This window comes from Homo sapiens, chromosome 2, assembly GCF_000001405.40.
Source record: "Homo sapiens chromosome 2, GRCh38.p14 Primary Assembly".
Classification (NCBI taxonomy): Eukaryota; Metazoa; Chordata; class Mammalia; order Primates; family Hominidae; genus Homo; species Homo sapiens.
Window position 1 is genome coordinate 131,593,424 of NC_000002.12, and position 18,662 is coordinate 131,612,085.

An 18,662-nucleotide genomic window follows, 5' to 3' on the forward strand; every position below is an offset into this window, starting at 1 on the left:
GGAGTCTCATTCTGTTGCCCAGGCTGGAGTGCAGTGGTGTGATCTTGGCTCACTGCAGCCTCTGCCTCCTAGGTTCAAGCAATTCTCTGCTTCAGCCTACTGAATAGCTGGGATTACAGGTGTCTGCCACCACGCCTGGCTAATTGTTTTGTATTTTTAGTAGAGATGTGGTTTCACCATCTTGGCCAGGCTGGTCTTGAATTCCTGTCCTCGTGATCCACCCACCTTGGTCTCCCAAAGTGCTGGGGTTACAGGCGTGAGCCACTGTGCCTGGCCTATATATGCAGTTATAATAAAATAAGCTCATTTTAAAATTGGGCAAAGTACTTTTTTGCATATCTACCAGTGACCTATGCACATAGGAAAAGATAACGTTCCTGGTGGAAGAAGGAATATAAGTTAGAAGAGGAATGAAATACTGTTTTCTATTTAAGTTAGAAGAGGAATGAAAGGCTGGGTGCAGTGGCTTACGCCTGTTATCCCAGCACTTTAGGAGGCTGAGGCAAGTGGATCATGAAGTCAGGAGTTTGAGACCAGCCTGGCCAGTGTGGTGAAATCCCATCTCTACTAAAAATACAAAAAATTAGCTGGGCATGGTGGCACACACCTGTAATCCCAGCTACTCAGGAGGCTGAAGCAAGAGAATTGCTTGAACCAGGGAGGTGGAGGTTGCAGTGAGCCGAGATCGTGCCACTACATTCCAGCCTGGGTGATAGAGTGAGACTCCATCTCAAAACAAAACAAAACAAAAAGGCATGAAATACTGTTTTCTATCCACAAAGTTTGTGAGGATGAAGAACAGTGGTACTTATATAGTTGTTTAAAGTTTAAATTGCTACAGCGCTTCAAACAGACACTTTAGTGGTAAGAACCACATTTTAAAAATGTTATGCTTTTTACTCATCAATTCCATTATACTGAAATATCTTTACCAAATAGATGTCTGTTTTTCTTAGTATTGATTAAAATAGCAGTGTATTTAGAAGAACCCATATAAAGATTTCATGAACAAATTTCAGTGCATCCATAGGATGGAATAATATGTAACTATTGAGGGTGTCAGTAGTTACAGAGATATGTCGACGTGCAAAGATGTACTTTGCTATAACAAGTGAGAAAAAAGTCAGTTTGTTACACATATACACGAACAGAATCTGCTTGTGTTAGCTGAAAACCTGTAGAAAATACAATCAAACTTGTTTCTGGGGATTTGTAAGTGAAGTTTTTCCCTTTCTCTTATCTGTGATTTCTGCAGTGAACATCTGAGGTTTTAGTTAAGGTTCATTAGTAATGAAATAATCCTTGGGAAGAGAAGGAATATGCTTCTTGCATAGATGCGAATAATTTATCACATTCTATTATTTATTTTTCTTTCTGTGGTTGGCTATCTTCTGTGAACTTTTACCCTCTTCAGAAGTAGAGGGGTCGTGTTTACCTGTTCCTGTAGATTTTATTATATATACATTTTATTACATAATTATTTTTTCATTATATATAGATTAACATGTAAAAAGTATGAATTATTTCAGTTGAGTTATATATTTATGAAAATTAAAATAGCAAATATAAATGACTGTTACTATTGGAAATGTATTGCCCTACTCTACAGGAGTTTTCTTTAAAAATACTGAACTCCCAAGCTGTGTTTATCCATTCTTTCAATCCATTTAGTCATCAGACATAAGCCAGACACCTGTTATGTGGCAGGCATATTCTACTGTCTCTCAGGATCCTTCCATCTTTGAAAACTTCATGTTTACCTGCTGGGCTTGAGCAAGCTGAGAGATTTAAAATTGGTGCATTAGGACTTAATCTCAGTTGAAGCTTTTCCTCCCTCCTTTCAAACAGAAGCATTTCTGAAGGTAGAAAATAGTAAAAGACACCCCTTAACTGCCCTTTTGAAAATTTGCAAGTCTTGGATAAAGACTGTTTTAGTTGTTTTAAGAACTAAAATGTGGTACATAAACAGCATGGAATACTATGCAGCCATAAAAGAAGGAACGAGAGCATGTGCTTTGCAGGGACATGGATGGTGTTGAAAGCCATTATCCTTAGCAAACTAACATAGGAAGAGAAAACCAAATACTGCATGTTCTCAATTACAGGTGGGAGCTAAATGATGAGAACACACAGATACCTAGAGGGAAGCAACACGCACTGGGGCCTATCAGAGGGTGGAGGGTGGGAAGAGGGAAGGAAGCAGGAAATAGAACGAACGGGTACTGGGCTTAACACCTGGGTAATGAAATAATCTGTACAACCAACCCCCTTGGTGCACGTTTACCTATGTAACAAACCTGCACATCCGGCACACGTACCCCTGAATGTAAAAGTTGAAAAAAGCTCCACAAATAGTTTCATAAATCCATTTTAAAAAGAGAACATTTATAACAGTCTTAAATCCTAATATGAATGATTGGAAATACCTGATGTAGATATATTGTATAAATCTAAGTATTGACAAAAATGAGCCCATGCTATTCATTTGAATTCCAAGTTTTCTTTGGCTTAAAGTTTATTGAAAACCAAAGTAAGAATTGGTTTATTTTAGAAATTTATTTTTGTTTTCGCCTCAGCTTTCTTATTCCATGGTTCTTTTAAGAACTAAAATTTATCTAAATGCTGGTCATCTGACTGGAACCGCCCCAGACCTGTTATAACATATTCTACTTAATGTAAGACACCAGGGATTGTATGATGCCCCATTATTTTATGTCTCAATAAGAGAATTATTTAAATGCCGCCAATTATAGTAAATCATGAATTGTAAGTGGTATTTCAGTGGAGACAACATGGAGACAATGATCATCTCAGAATCACTAAAATACAATGTTAGCTGTAATATTTAAAACACACCTCAGTGTAGGTATAATTGTATCATCTCAATTCAAATGTTGTCTTTAGTGGTATCAGTAAAAATTATAATATCTAACAATTATTGAGCTGTTATTTGTGTTAGGAACTATTCTATATCTTTTGTGCAGAGTCTCATTTAAGCATTACGGTGGTTTCCTGTGAGAAAGCTACTATTCTCATTCCTATTTTATTGATGAGGAAACTGAGACCCCAAAAGGCTAAGCAACAGCTAGGAAGTGACAGAGCTTCAAGTAGGATTCCAGCCCAAGTTGAATGTCATCCAAGGGCTATGCTCTTTGTATTCATATAGGCTGCTCTTTCATTAATACAGCGAGCAATGAGAGAAAATAGTGTGCTTTTTTCATGGGAAAGTTAAATGTTTGTTTTGAAGGCAGAGTAATAGCAGGCTATTCAGTGTTTGCAAGTACATGAATCATTAATGTGGCTGTAGCTAGTGCACTACAATTTCCTAAAAAGTCTTGTCACTCTCACAGGACTGCTCTACATCTGGCGTCTGCCAATGGGAATTCAGAAGTAGTAAAACTCGTGCTGGACAGACGATGTCAACTTAATGTCCTTGACAACAAAAAGAGGACAGCTCTGACAAAGGTATGCAGTAGCCAACTCTATCAGCGTGAGGTGGGTTTGATTTCAATACATAGCATAAAAATGAGTTTTCTGCTTTAAATATAACTAGTTGGTGAAAGCTGTGGAATGTTATTTTGAATTCCTAAGATTTGTAATTTGTTTTTGGTCTAATACTGACAGGCCGTACAATGCCAGGAAGATGAATGTGCGTTAATGTTGCTGGAACATGGCACTGATCCAAATATTCCAGATGAGTATGGAAATACCACTCTACACTATGCTGTCTACAATGAAGATAAATTAATGGCCAAAGCACTGCTCTTATACGGTGCTGATATCGAATCAAAAAACAAGGTATAGATCTACCAATTTTATCTTCAAAATACTGAAATGCATTCATTTTAACATTGACCTGTGTAAGGGCCAGTCTTCCGTATTTGGAAGCTCAAGCATAACTTGAATGAAAATATTTTGAAATGACCTAATTATCTAAGACTTTATTTTAAATATTGTTATTTTCAAAGAAGCATTAGAGGGTACAGTTTTTTTTTTTTAAATGCACTTCTGGTAAATACTTTTGTTGAAAACACTGAATTTGTAAAAGGTAATACTTACTATTTTTCAATTTTTCCCTCCTAGGATTTTTTTCCCCTAATGAATGTAAGATGGCAAAATTTGCCCTGAAATAGGTTTTACATGAAAACTCCAAGAAAAGTTAAACATGTTTCAGTGAATAGAGATCCTGCTCCTTTGGCAAGTTCCTAAAAAACAGTAATAGATACGAGGTGATGCGCCTGTCAGTGGCAAGGTTTAAGATATTTCTGATTGCTCATGAGGCAGAAGTGGAAAGGGAAAAAGAGAGCAATCAGAAATATCAAGGCCAATTTGGAAATTAAGTAATAGAGGGAAAAGACCACGAAGAAGTTGTGTGTGTGTGTGTTGTTGTTGTTGTTGATTGATTTGTTTCCTTTGTATGGTGAGACAAGGTTCTCTTCAATTTTAAAGAACGACACTTTTCAGTTTGGGAGAGGGAGTTAGTGGGTTGGAAACTGAATAGAGATCAATTTTAGGAGGCCTCTGAGGAACCAGATAGGCAGTGAACAGGTGGTAATGTAAGAGGAAACCCTTGAGCAGAGGGAATATCAAGTAATTAACTGACTTAGTATCCTATTCTGGTAGAAATGGCCAATTAGAGTCTCAGCTCTGCTTTCAAATCTAGTGTGTCTGGATGGGAAGGTAGAAGATAAATAAGTAACAAAATCAAGTTGGATTTTGAGTTGACTAGACCCTGTTCTTCTCTTACTGGGGAAAATCATGTGGTGTTTTCAGCAAATGGGTCTCTCTCCTACTCCTTACTCTTTTTGGCCAAATCTTCAAATGAGAAAGGGAATTGGTCATGTGGGTGAGAAATGAGACTGAAATAATTGTCTGTTGCACTAGCTTTCAGCTAGAATTGTGCATCCCAGTAACCTGAGGAAAATGTTTAAATAATCAACAAGTCTAGGCTTTTTCTGAATATTTTGATACAGTAAGTCTAATAAATCCTGGATATGTATATTTGAAAATGTTTCCTTGAAGCCAGGCATGGTGGTGCATGGCTGTAGTCCCAGCTGCTAGGGAGGCTGAGGTGGGAGGATTGCTTGAGCTCAGGAATTCGAGTCTAGCCTGGTCAACATAATGAGACCCTGTCTCTAACAACAACAGCAACAACAATTTTCTCAAAATCTGGATACACTCCTGCTTAAGAACCACTCAATACATAAATGTAATATGTAAATTCTTATGTCTCAGAAACTTAAGGTATCTCTAGAAGAGTTGGGGTTGGATATGTGCTGATTTCTTTAAATCTTTCCTTTCCAATAACATTAATCTGACTTTTTTTTTTTTTTTCCCCCGAGATGGGGTCTCACTCTGTTTCCCAGGCTGGAGTGCAGTGGTGTGATCACAGCTCACTGCAGCCTCGACCTCCCCAAGCTCAGATGTTCCTCCAATCTCAGTTTTTTTTTTTTTTTTTTTTAAGTGGAGATGAGGTTTTGCCATGTTTCTCAGGCTGGTCTTGAACTCCTGGGCTCAAGCGATTCACCCACCTCAGCCTCCCCAAATGCTAGGATTACAGGTGTGAGCCACCATTCCTGGCCTAGTCTGACTTTTATCTCTGTGGTTGAGACATTAAAATGAATATTATTGGTAGTATGTATCAGCTTACAGAATAATATCTTTTCCTTCCTACCATCAGTTATTCACTGCCATTCAGAAGGTCTTTAGAAATTTGCTGTGAGTAGTCTTTCAATAAGTAGAGGATGGCCCTCTCAGGATTTTATGTCTCTTTGTTCAGTCATTCAAGTGCTTAGGTCAGTAAGTCGTTAAGAGCAGAGTTTTCTCAATTAGAATTGTAGCAAATTCTAAACCATTTTTTGTCAATTGACGCTGTATTATGGACTATCCAGTGTGTCTCTTAAGTATGTAGAGCTTTGGCATAATCAGAATGGCAGTTTTAAACACTAAAAACCATGGAGTTATTAAGAATACAGATAGGAATTCTGTTAATTTAGTTTCAGTAGTCCTATGAACTGATGATTTAGTTAACAATCTGGGAAAATTAAATACAAATAGATTTTAAATAAATAAATGTTGGAAAATTTTTTCAAATGGGCAGTATGAGTTTTAATAGCAATTTTTGTTGCATGTTGGAGGTTGAACTTTTGGTAAAACATGAAACTAAAGAAATACTTTACATGCAGATTCTTGCTTTATACACAATTTGTCTTAGGGTTGAGGATATAGAGACAAAAGATACAGCCCCTGCCCTCAAGGAGCTCTTTGTTTAGATGGGAAAAATATTATCATCCAATAACACCATGCCAAATGCTGAGTTAGAAGCAAAGAGCCTTGGAAGCAGTAAATGTTTAAAGTGAGTTTTTGAGATGATTAGAGTTACTGTGGTGAGGCAGAGAAGGGGTGTTTCCAAGGGAAGGAGCAGCGTGTGGGAAAGCACAGAAGAGTGAGAAGGAAGCGACTACATTTTATTTACTTCCTATGCGTGTAAGTCCATAAGATCTTATATAAAGTTTCCACTTCAGTTGAGGAATATGTACTTTTTTGAATTACATAGGTTTTTGCTTTATATTGTTTTACAGCATGGCCTCACACCACTGCTACTTGGTATACATGAGCAAAAACAGCAAGTGGTGAAATTTTTAATCAAGAAAAAAGCGAATTTAAATGCACTGGATAGATATGGAAGGTATAGTTCTTTCTTTTAATCTGTGTGTTCTAGATGGATAGCAGTCACTCAAGTCATAAATATTAAATTAATAAGATTAATGTATACTTACTGGGATATAGTGATCAGTATCAACACAAATCAGTTAGGTAGAAAAACAATTACTTGGACTGGGCAACATAAAGATCAGTTTTAATAGGATTCATCTTCTCATTATATTGACTGATGTTATTTGTTATATGACATTTTTGGTTACATGATCTTATGTTAGCTAAAGGGATTTCATATTAATTTAATGAAGTTTGAACTTTAACTTTTAGTTTACTTTATGACTCAGTATTGAACTTCTTAACCCTTTCTAATAGTTTTTAACCTCCGTGTCTTACATGCTTTTCCACTAAATATGCTGTATTAAACATAAATAGGGGTTGAAAATCCTTTTGTCTTTTCAATGACTCTGCTTTAAGTTGCTTTCTTTGAAGAATATTAATGTTAGCTTATCTCTACATGACAATTAATTGCTGTTCCCACATACTGTGGGTTCAACAGCTTTTTTCCTTTTTTATTTCTAGTGTATTTTTTATTTTTATTTTTAATTGGTATGGAGAGAGGGAGTGAAGATAGTTTTAAGTGGATACACTTTTCCTTTAATGAAGGCAAGCCGTAGGTGGGTGATAAAGAGAAAAGAGCTAGGCTTTGGATTCACACAAGACTGGGTTAATTCCTAACTTTCTTACTTGCTAGGTGTGTGACCTTGGGGACGTTATTTACCACCAAATATGTTGTCATATATGAAAAGTAGGAGAATATATCCTTCAAAGTTGGCTGTGCATAAGTAAGAAAGATACATGTGGCATTTAATTCAGTGCCTAGCACATGGTTATTGGCACCATTAACTGAAACTCCTACGACTACTATTCTTACCATTATTAATACTGCTTTGAGCATGCAGAGAGCTCTTATTTCTCTTACCCCCTAGCTGATTTTCTATTACAGCATATCAGTCTAGGGAAGCTGTGACAAAATCTTCACTTAAATCTTTGTCCACTTCAGATAAGTGGCCCTAACATTGTTTCTTGCCCATCAAAGGACGTTAAATTAGTAGCTTCTGCTATGCAATACCCCACTGAGATGAGAGGCTTTTTTTTGTCCCTGTCTTTTAACCTTTGTGGTATTTTAGAAAGATGAACACTTGAGCCCTCAAGATGCTTATGTCTTTTATTGCATGTAAATGTTTGATTCTGCACGGACAGGCAAGGTCTTACATTGGTAAAGTATATCAGATTAGCTTTAAAAATAACTTTATTACAGTTCCTATCTCTGTCATTTTAGAACTGCTCTCATACTTGCTGTATGTTGTGGATCAGCAAATATAGTCAGCCCTCTACTTGAGCAAAATATTGATGTATCTTCTCAAGATCTGGACAGACGGCCAGAGAGTATGCTGTTTCTAGTCATCATCATGTGTAAGTGTTTACATTAAAAGGCTAGTTAATGCTAAATTGAGGTTTAAAATAATTATAACAGTTGCATCTTACATATCAGGTGAGATGTCATAGTTTGGTTCAGGTAGTTTTCGCGTGTCAGTGAGTTAGTCCCTTGCATCAGCCAGAAATCAGACAAAAAGCAAGACAAGTTAGAAGTGCCAATGGGTGCAGGATTCTTTATCTCAGGACTTTTAAGATCTTTATCCTTAGAGATCCCAGCATTGTTCATTTGATCCAAGTGTAACACCTATGCAGGGATAAAAAAGAGTGTCACATCTTTAATTTTTCTGATTAGTTATTTGGGTCTTGAAATGTCCAGTTTAGCAGAAAGTCTTGTACTGTTTTCTGGGGACTATGTCCTACATACTCCTTGAATTTTTCAAGAACCGAAGGGGTTTACTAAATCCAAGGAAGACAGTCCCTTTTATCAAGTCAGAAGGAGGAGGAAAAAAAAGGACATTGCAATCATTCTGTTGTTTCCATTGATTCTGTTGCTGCATTGTTGCCACTCAAACTGGTCCTGCTGTCTTAAGATGAATCAGTAGATTCAGATCCCTCAAGTCTTCATGGTGATTCATACAGTGACTTTCATGTTTTTTAGTTCCCATACCTATGCTTATATGCTCAGCCATTGTTCCCAGAGGACCAGCCCCCTGCTCTGGCCGCTGGGCATCCTGACTTTATCCGCACACAAAGTGAGCAAATTGACCCTTCCCCACATATTCAGAACCTAATGTGGAACCCACATCTTAGCTAGGAATTAGCTGAGACCTTCATGGTAAGAGATCCTTTGAGGCTGTTGTTGGTCTTTTCTCTGGCAGATATTAGTTGGGCTTGTTCTAAAGGGTGAGAGGGGTTCAAATAATGTGGCAGAAAGAGATCAGTGTTTGTTTCCTTTTTGCTACCAGATCTGTACTGTGAGGCACCTTTATATCCTGTATAGAACCTTGGGCAGTAGAAAGTCCCATATGAACCTTGCCCTGAGCAGTGGCTCCCAGCTGTGGTTGGCCCCTTGAGTGATCTGATTTACATGATAATGAAAATCGTTGAAGCTACTTCCATCTCTAGCTCAAGATTTTAAAATATTTTCAAACTCTAGCTCACAGGAAGCCATTGAAGAGAAATCTCAGAATCTCAAGTAGGTTAGTTGGACTCAACAGAGCCAAGCCTTGTCCATGACGCATCACTAATCATGTGTAAAAGTAGGGCTTTGTGCTTGCTTCGGCGGCACATATCCTAAAATTGGAACAATACGGGGAAAGTTAGCGTGGCTTCTGCATAAGGAGGCAGCACAGATCTTTGAAGCATTCCATATTTTGTGCAGTCACTGGAAGGTCATTTGACTATTTGCTGACTAGCTCTAAGGAAATAGTGTGAATCAAAGCAAAATGGGTGCCACCCAAATATTGAAATTGTGATTTGCGCGGCAAAAAGAGTCATATAAGATGGTCTATGAGATGACTTTGAGCTGAATAACGTGTTTGGTGCAAAATATATTGTTAGTATGTATGTCGAAAATCACAGAATGTCAGCTTGCTACTTCTCCGTGGAAACTAAAAAAAATAAAAGTAGACTTTTGGTCTCCCATGTCAGCTGTAACTGAACATCAATATAAAGCATTATCCTAACAAACATCTGCTGGCTGAGAGTTTGAGTCTGTAGAGAAGGATCGTTGGTCCAAACCAGGTCTTAACATCCATTGGTTTTTCTGCCCTTGGCGTGATTGATCAACTCCGTAATAGTGGACAATCACATTATCTACTTTAATGAGATATTTAGGAATAAATTTAGTTACAAACTATCACATAGTTGAGATGCACTGAATTATAAGCCATAAGGAGTAGGACAACTAAGAAGCAAAATTAGGACTTAATAATATCTTCTGAAAACTACAACGTTTGCATATTAGAACCTATGAACAAAATACGCATTGGGTTTTATTTGGGATTCCAAGATAATTTCGGTCATAAAGTTTAGGAACAAATTATTCCATTGCTTTACTATTTCTCTCAGCTTTTAAAAAATGTTATCTTGTTAAATCTTTGTAACAACCTAGTGAAATAAGGCAGCAAAGTCCTCACTTTGTTGAAGAAGACATTGAGCCTAAGAGAAGCAAGTTGTCCAAGAACAAATAGTTATTCATTATGGAGCTAGGACTTATGCAGAGTTGGGACACTTTCTATTATATCAGGTTAATGTGAGCTAATTTACTGGGTCACAGTGCCCTTGATTTATGAGTATTTCAGCTTACATTTTTTTCTTCTTTAATTAGAAGCTTAAAGAGAAGTTTGTAGAATGTACTTATAAGTGGACGGGATAATACTGTTGGGTTCTGATATTCTGATATTGTTTGAAATATGCTTAAGAGTTTTACATTTGGTAAGTATTTTTTATATCAGTATTAAAATAGTAATTTGGTTTATTACATTTTTACACATAGAATTTGCCAGTTACTTTCTGACTACAAAGAAAAACAGATGTTAAAAATCTCTTCTGAAAACAGCAATCCAGGTAAGACTTGTGTTAGTGAATTACTTTAGGTTAGTTGTCCCCAACCTTTTTGGCACCAGGGACCAGTTTTGTGGAAGACAATCTTTCCATGGGCTGGGGGAAGGTGGGGATGGTTTCAGGATTATTCAGTCACATTATACTTATTGTGCTACTTTATATTATTATTACATTGTAATATATAATGAAATAATTGTACAACTTACCATAATGTGGAATCAGTGGAAGCTCTGAGCTTGTTTCCCTGCAACTAGATGGTCCCTTGTGGGGGCAAAGGGAGACAGTGACAGATCATCAGGCATTAGATTCTCATGTGAAGCACACAACCTAGATCCTTCAGATGGGCAGTTCACAACAGGTTTCATGCTCCAATGAGTATCTAATGCTATCACTGATCTGCCTGGAGGCAGAGTTCAGGCGGTAATATGAGCCATGGTGTGTGGCTGTAAGTACAGGTAAAGCTTCCCTGGCTTGCCTGCTGCTCACCTCCTCCTGTGTGGTGTGGTTCATAATAGTCCATGGACTGGTATGAGTCTGTGGCCTGGGAGTTGAGGACCCCTGCTCTGCGTGGTCCTACCATAGATAAAAAAAGTAAAAGTAAGGAATTTTTGATCACAAAAGAACACTGAAGCACAAGTCATGTTACATATGCTTGTCCCAATAAGGTCTCACTATTATTGACTTCATTCCTCCTCATTTGAAGTTGGAAAGAGATATATTTACTTTGTTGGAACAAGATGTGTTCTTCTACCTGCTGGCGCTAATTGTCATGATAACAGTAATTTTGTTAGAACAAGGTGCTCTGCTACCATTTGCCAAAAGATTGTCATAATAAATATACAAATTGCCCAACTCTAGGCTCAGCAGATTATAATAAGAGCAGAAAAATGTTTCACACTAACAAAAATGCTAGTATGCTACCTGGTTGTGGACACCTAATACATTATATAATCCAAACTTTATGAGGACACCTTTAATTTAGCCATCTATTTGTCAAAGAGCTTATGTAAGTTAGGTTTTATAAGTTACAGGAGACAAAGATGGAATAGATGTGGTTTTGATCTTTAAGGTGCTCATAATAGAGCTGTCTCCATTTATGTGCTTTTTCAATGGAATTTACAAAGAAAACATTTCTATTTATGTTTTCACTTGTCCACTTAACAAATAACTATCAAATGTATTTTAGATACTAACCATTTTTCTAATGCTAAAGAACACAACTAAAAAGGCATACAGGAGCTTATTATCATTGTCATTTTCATTATTTTACTACTTTATTCAGTGCTTACTGTGTGCTAGATGCCCACTGGAAGCTTATAATTATGATTTATTATATATTGATTATGTGCCAGACATATGTGATGAGGAATGAAGGTTTTGGAAAAATGTAGGTATGATTTAAGGTAAGCATGCAGAGAAGAATTTTTCTAGGTAAAGAAGCAGAAGAAGAATGTTTGGCAGAAGGAACATGTAGTGAGATTGTGTGTTTGCCAGAAGGAACATCTAATGAGATTGCCTGTTTGGCAGAAAGAGCAGCAAGTGCAAAAGACAAGATGCTTGAGTGGACTTTGCAGGGTTTCTGAGCAGTTCACTTTTGCTAGTACCAAAAGTGTGAGATACCAGAGATTGGGAAAGAGGTGAATAGTTAGCTAAGGCAAGTTTATGATAGACTTTTTAATACTATAGAAATGAGTAGGTCTTATCTTGTGGGCCATGGGAAATTTACCAGGTAGAATGCTTTGGACTGCAAATACTAGATGAGCAGCGGCTAAAACAGTAGGAACCAGAATTGTTTTTTTGTTCATTGATATCCTAGGATCCCACCTGTCCCTCTTTCAGCTGTGGTGTTGACAGTGTTTTATTCACATCTCCTTTCATGGTTGGCTAGTCCCCAGCAGCTCCAAACATCATGTTCTCACAACACAACATCACAAGGGCTGCTTTTCTTCACGTGTGTCTTTTAAACAGGGAGAAAACTTAGAAGCATGCAAGGGGCTTCCTGTAACATTTCGTTGGCTGGGTCATACCACATGCTCATTCCTAAACCAGGCACTGGGAAGGCAAATACCTGATTAGCTTAGAATAAACATTTCTGTTTCTGAGGCTGAGGAGGGGGATTGGGATAATAAATATCCCAATAGACTTGTGTTTCTTCTGCAAGAAAGAATGAGGAATGGCTATTGATAGGGAGCCAACAATGTGTGCTGCAGGGGCTCATTGGAGAAATTTGTGCAGGGGAGTCACAAGATTAAATTTGAGTATTAAGGCATTCTGGTTATGGTGTAAAATGGGTTAGCAAGCTTTTTCTGTAAAGGACCAGGTGGGAAATATTTTAGACTATGTGGTCTCTGTCATGTCTGCTTAACCCTGCTGTTGTCTGCTGTTGTAGTGTGAAAGCCACCATGATTATATGTAAGCAAACAGGCATGACTGAGTTCCTATAAAACTTTATTTACAAAGCCATAAGGCAGATTGGATTTGGCCTGTGGCCTATAGTTTCCTGGGATTGATGGAAGATAACCATGTAAAGAAACCAGGAGACAAAGGAAGCTTTTGCAGTAGTCAGCTATAGTTTCCATGTCACACATCCTTGGACTAGTATCAATGTATTATAAGGTTTTCACCTGTCCATGGTGAAGTAAATAACGTTAGGAATCTCAGTTACTCATTTAAATATGTTAGCCTTCGTTATGCCTTTTTCATTTGTTTTGCTTAATTTTTTTCATGTAAGAAATAACATTAAGAGTTGGCAGTTTTCTTTTAAATAAAAGCCATTTTGTAAATGTTTGTGTTCCCAGTGGCAGTGGGAATATAAAACGGAGGCAGAAGAGAGGTATAGTCAATATGATCTAGTGATAATTGAATGAGAAAGGCTTGGGGGACAGAAGATTTACAGGTTTCCAGGTTGTACACTAGTATTTAACCTGGACATGAGGAAAGAGTAGGAAATATTCTGGTGAATACAGAAGAACAAAGAGCAGCAGGTCAGCAGGAATGACTAATTTTTTTCTATGCAAGTTTAATAGAATATTCGTGTAGGATATTTTGAGTAGGTAATTGGATGACCAGCATTTATAACTCGCATCCTGGTAGTTTGACTCTCAGTAATAAGACTTGTCAAAGATCCAAGAATCTGAAAGTTGATGATAAATGTCCATGTATATCACCATCCGTGACCGAAAGTCAGCATCCACAGAACACAGAATTGGGACAGATGAACTTAATAGATAAAGATGAATATCAGAGTTGTTCCTCTTAGGGAATGATACTCTCCATGACCTGTGTGAGTCACAGCTGCCAGAAAAGAAAGAGCAAGGAGCGTATGAAGGCAGCACAGCAAATTCAGTCCTAGAGTGCCCTGCTTGGCTTCATGTCATAGTTCTGACTTCTAAAAAATCATTTTCTGCAAAACGTGCTTTGTGTTTTTCCCTCTTGCCGCCTGCAGCCAATCAGAATCTTTTTAGCATTGCATTTTTGTGTTCTTCCTTTAAAGAAGGCAACGTATGAATAATGAAAAGAAGTAAGAGAAAGAATGTTTTTTTGTATGAGATAGTATTTAATGTAAACTTAAGAGTGAGTGCCAGGATTATACTTAGAATTTATGGACTGGATGGGAAGACTGGATACAAATCTAAAGATTGCTGACTCAAACACAATGTGGTTTCTTTGATTTATTGTCACAGCTCTGAAGTCACAACTCTTAGTTGTATTCATATGCACTATAACTTTACAAAGCATCTTCCCAAACCAAATGTTTACTGATTTATTATAATTTGTATGACTTCATTATAGAATTGACTTTCCAAGTGTTCATGAGAATTGTTTAGAATTTGCTACATAGTATCATCTCAGCTGTGTCCACATGAGCTATCTGTCACCTTGTCTTAATGAATAATAGTTCACTGGTAATATTGGTTTTGGCATTTAAAGTGATCTATGTCTAATGCAGATAGGACCCAGGACCACTCTTGAACATTAATGTCCAAGCATCTTAAAATTACACATAAGGCTTTCATAATCTGACTTCTGCCCCACTCTCCATCTTTAGCCCTTTTCCCTGTGTGCCCTTTCTCTGGCATTACTGAGCTGCTGGTAATGCCCTACTCACTCATCCTTCTATTGTAGGCAAATACTTTCACTCTTTCAGGCCTTGCTCCTGCTCTTGCTGCTGCGTGGCATGCCGTCACCCTTTCCTGCCCTCTACCCCTTTTAATCTGGCTAGTCTCAATATTTAAGTCTCTGCTTGGGCATGTTTTCTAGAAAAGCCATCCCTGACATGCTTTATTTTCATTCTTTTTAGACCCTAACGCCTAGCATATATGTAGCAGGACTCAATAAAAAATTTTTGAGTAAAACAAAGATTGTTTTTACAAAGATGATGTGCAAGACTCTCCCCTGCAGTCTTGGAGCAGAGGGGACAGACATGGAGGAATAATGTACAGTTTAGGTGGTAAAGATGCAGTAGAAAAATCAGTAACGTAGTAAGGCAGCCTCAAGCAAGGAGGTACCTGTTTATTTGGGGAAAGACATGCAGAATCAAGGAAGACTTCACATAGCATTGTTTCAAAAGATGAAAATAAGGCCAGGTGTGGTGGCTCACACCTGTAATCCCAGCACTTCTGGAGAGGATCACGAGGTCAGGAGATCAAGACCATCCTGTCCAATGGTGAAACCCCATATCTACTAAAAATACAAAAATCAGCTGGGTGTGGTGGTGGTTGCCTGTAATCACAGCTACTCAGGAGACTGAGGCAGGAGAATCGCTTGAACCAGGGAGTTGGAGGTTGCAGTGAGCTGATCGCACCACTGCATTCCAGTCTGGTGACAGAGCAAGACCCTGACTCATAAAAAAAAAAATGAAAATAAATGTGTCAGAATAGTGGAGGGAAACATTTTAGATATTAGGAAGATGTTGTACACTAATAAAGGTGTCAGCAGTGATTTTGGAAATCATTTATAAGGTACTATTAGGAAGTGGAGAACAGTATACTGTGTCACTTTATATGTTTCTGCTGTATTTTGAAGCTGTGTTTCTGGTGGGTTTGTTCATTGATGTTGGGTGGATGAATTTGTAAGGGAATTTTTGACATGTTTGTATGTCTTCAATCTGGTGACATCTGGTATCTCCCCAAGTGGTTTTTTGAAGTTTTTGAGAATTTTTTCTTAAATGACAATTTCATGAAAGATTAAACGCCCAATTTATGAAATGAAATGTCTTAAATCTGTTTTTAAAAGGCAATAGTTTTTAACTGTTCTAAGTGGTTGATTTTAACTGAATATATGGATTTTTCAACAGAACAAGACTTAAAGCTGACATCAGAGGAAGAGTCACAAAAGCTTAAAGGAAGTGAAAACAGCCAGCCAGAGGCATGGAAACTTTTAAATTTAAACTTTTGGTTTAATGTTTTTTTTTTTGCCTTAATAATATTAGATAGTCCAAATGAAATTACCTATGAGACTAGGCTTTGAGAATCAATAGATTCTTTTTTTAAGAATCTTTTGGCTAGGAGCGGTGTCTCACGCCTGTAATTCCAGCACCTTGAGAGGCTGAGGTGGGCAGATCACGAGATCAGGAGATCGAGACCATCCTGGCTAACACGGTGAAACCCCATCTCTACTAAAAATACAAAAACTTAGCTGGGTGTGGTGGCGGGTGCCTGTAGTCCCAGCTACTCAGGAGGCTGAGGCAGGAGAATGGCATGAACCCGGGAGGTGGAGGTTGCAGTGAGCCGAGATCCGCCACTACACTCCAGCCTGGGTGACAGAGCAAGACTCTGTCTCAAAAAAAAAAAAAAAAAAAGAATATTTTAATAGATTCTTAAAATTTATTGTAATAAATTCAGTAACCTTATTAACAGAAGAATCAGTAGATTCTAATTTAATATTTGATATTTAACTTCAATATAACCCACTATAAAATTTAAAATACTCTTATTTTAAAATATTCTTATCTGCCTTCTTGATTAGCTTATAGCTTATCTTTCCTTTTGGAATAGAGGCAAAAACAAATTTCAGAACTTTGTTTGTTCTTTTATTTTTACAACACCGTAACATGATAAAGAAAGTAACATCAATTATTGAATCATATGATTAAGTAATGGGAATTATGAACAATGTAACACTGATGGTCCCTGAGCTGGATTCATGGTTAAAGAGTAATCATGGCCAGTGATTGAAAATCTGTGGTTTTATATTGCCAGTCACTGATACCAAGGTTAAAGATATATTCTGCCTTGTCTCTCATTGACCTCAGTGTTTCTGTTCAGGGAGGGAACCAGGTCATAAAAGCAACCCAACTGCCTATTACAAGGATCATATCTTGCAGAATGGAACCTTTGGTGTTAGTGCACAAACACAATAATATTCTAATTTATTTCAGTTACAGAAAATCAGTACAGATTAAAAATTTTTATCTGCTGTCATTAGTACACATTAGAATGTATTAGAACTGGACTTAAGCAGATAATCTGGATACATAACACTATCATATTACAGTATATAATTTTAATTAAAATTTGAGAATTTGCATTTCTTTCTGTTTGGTGTTGATTTTGGCTCCTAATAGTTTAAAGGGTGCCTACAATCCAGTTAGGGATCTTTTAAAAAAGCACTTCAGTGCACTGTAGGGGCTCACTAGTTAGGGTTTCGTGAGGTAAACTCTTTGCAAGTGAGGAAGATTTTGCAACACTACAAATCATCTGCTGATTCATTTTTGGTAGATTAACACATAACAAATTAAATTTAGTCCAAACAAATAGTGACAAAGTTAAGTTTGCTGGTTCATGTTTTTTTCTCCCGTTGTCTAAGGTGAATTATTTTTCACATGTTAGAAGCCAGTGATGTGGCAGTAGCTAAACATAGATTAAAAAGTTAATTCTTAATTTTAATTATTATTTATTTATTTTAACAGTTTAATTTTATTTTCTAATTTTTATTGTCCATACTTGATTACTTAAGAATAAAATTAATTTAAAAACATGCACTCCAAAAGAGGAGACGTCACAGAAATACAACAAGGAAATTAACCTTTTGTTTTTGCATCTGCAGAAAATGTCTCAAGAACCAGAAATAAATAAGGATGGTGATAGAGAGGTATACCTGTATATTCAAATGTTTGTGTTGAATTAGATTTTTACACTATGTTGTTTAACAAAGTGTAGTAAATGTAGGCATACATGATCCTATCATGTAAGTAGCATAAATCATCAGTGAAAAATTTAATACTTAACTCAGAATTCTGTACATTGAATTTTAAAGAGATGCAAACCCCAGAGATATTCTTTCATTATTATGGAATAATCCCGAATGGTGCCGTAAAATGCTAGGTAATGCCACTTTAGGAGCTTTGGACCAATTATTTTATCTTTCTTGGTTTTAGTCTGATTATCAATAGATAATGTGGCTAAAGTAGATAATTTCTTACTCTGTGTACTTTCCAGCTAGAAGATTTTATGGCTATTGAAGAAGAAATGAAGAAGCACGGAAGTACTCATGTGGGATTCCCAGAAAACCTGACTAATGGTGCCGCTGCTGGCAATGGTGATGATGGATTAATTCCTCCAAGGAAGAGCAGAACACCTGAAAGCCAGCAATTTCCTGACACTGAGAATGAAGAGTATCACAGGTGAGCCTAGTGGCAACATTGAACAGGAGGTAACTATGTGCTGTCAAACCAATCCTAATTTGGGCTAATAGTCATGATGAACAAATTTTATACTTTTACTAGGATATTCAGCCTTGCCTGTTAATCAGAAAAATGAAAATCAGCAAACAATGAGTTAACATTTTTTTCCAGTCATTAATTTATTTGAAAAATAACCAGTATTGGCAAATGTGAGGGAAAAGGCATTTTCTTCTCTTTTCAGTGAAGTTTTATTTTAGCTTCGGGGTACATGTGCAGGTTTATTATATAGGTAAACTGTATCATGTAGGTTTGGGGTACAGATTATTTCATCAGCCACATAGTAAGCACAATACTCGAAAGGTAGTTTTTTGGTCGT

At 37.1% G+C, this 18,662-nt stretch overlaps 2 pseudogenes across 1 annotated transcript in view; both read left to right on the plus strand.

The window, feature by feature from the left end:
• Window positions 1-18,662, plus strand: part of POTEKP (POTE ankyrin domain family member K, pseudogene) — a 34,388-nt pseudogene that overhangs the window by 1,382 nt on the left and 14,344 nt on the right. Inside the window, exons 2-8 of the transcript NR_033885.3 lie at window positions 3,351-3,465; window positions 3,625-3,798; window positions 6,582-6,688; window positions 8,000-8,133; window positions 10,595-10,665; window positions 15,959-16,029; window positions 18,102-18,286. The product of NR_033885.3 is annotated as a POTE ankyrin domain family member K, pseudogene (transcript). The remainder of the gene's footprint in view (window positions 1-3,350; window positions 3,466-3,624; window positions 3,799-6,581; window positions 6,689-7,999; window positions 8,134-10,594; window positions 10,666-15,958; window positions 16,030-18,101; window positions 18,287-18,662) is intronic.
• On the plus strand, window positions 9,367-9,473 carry RNU6-617P (RNA, U6 small nuclear 617, pseudogene; annotated as a pseudogene).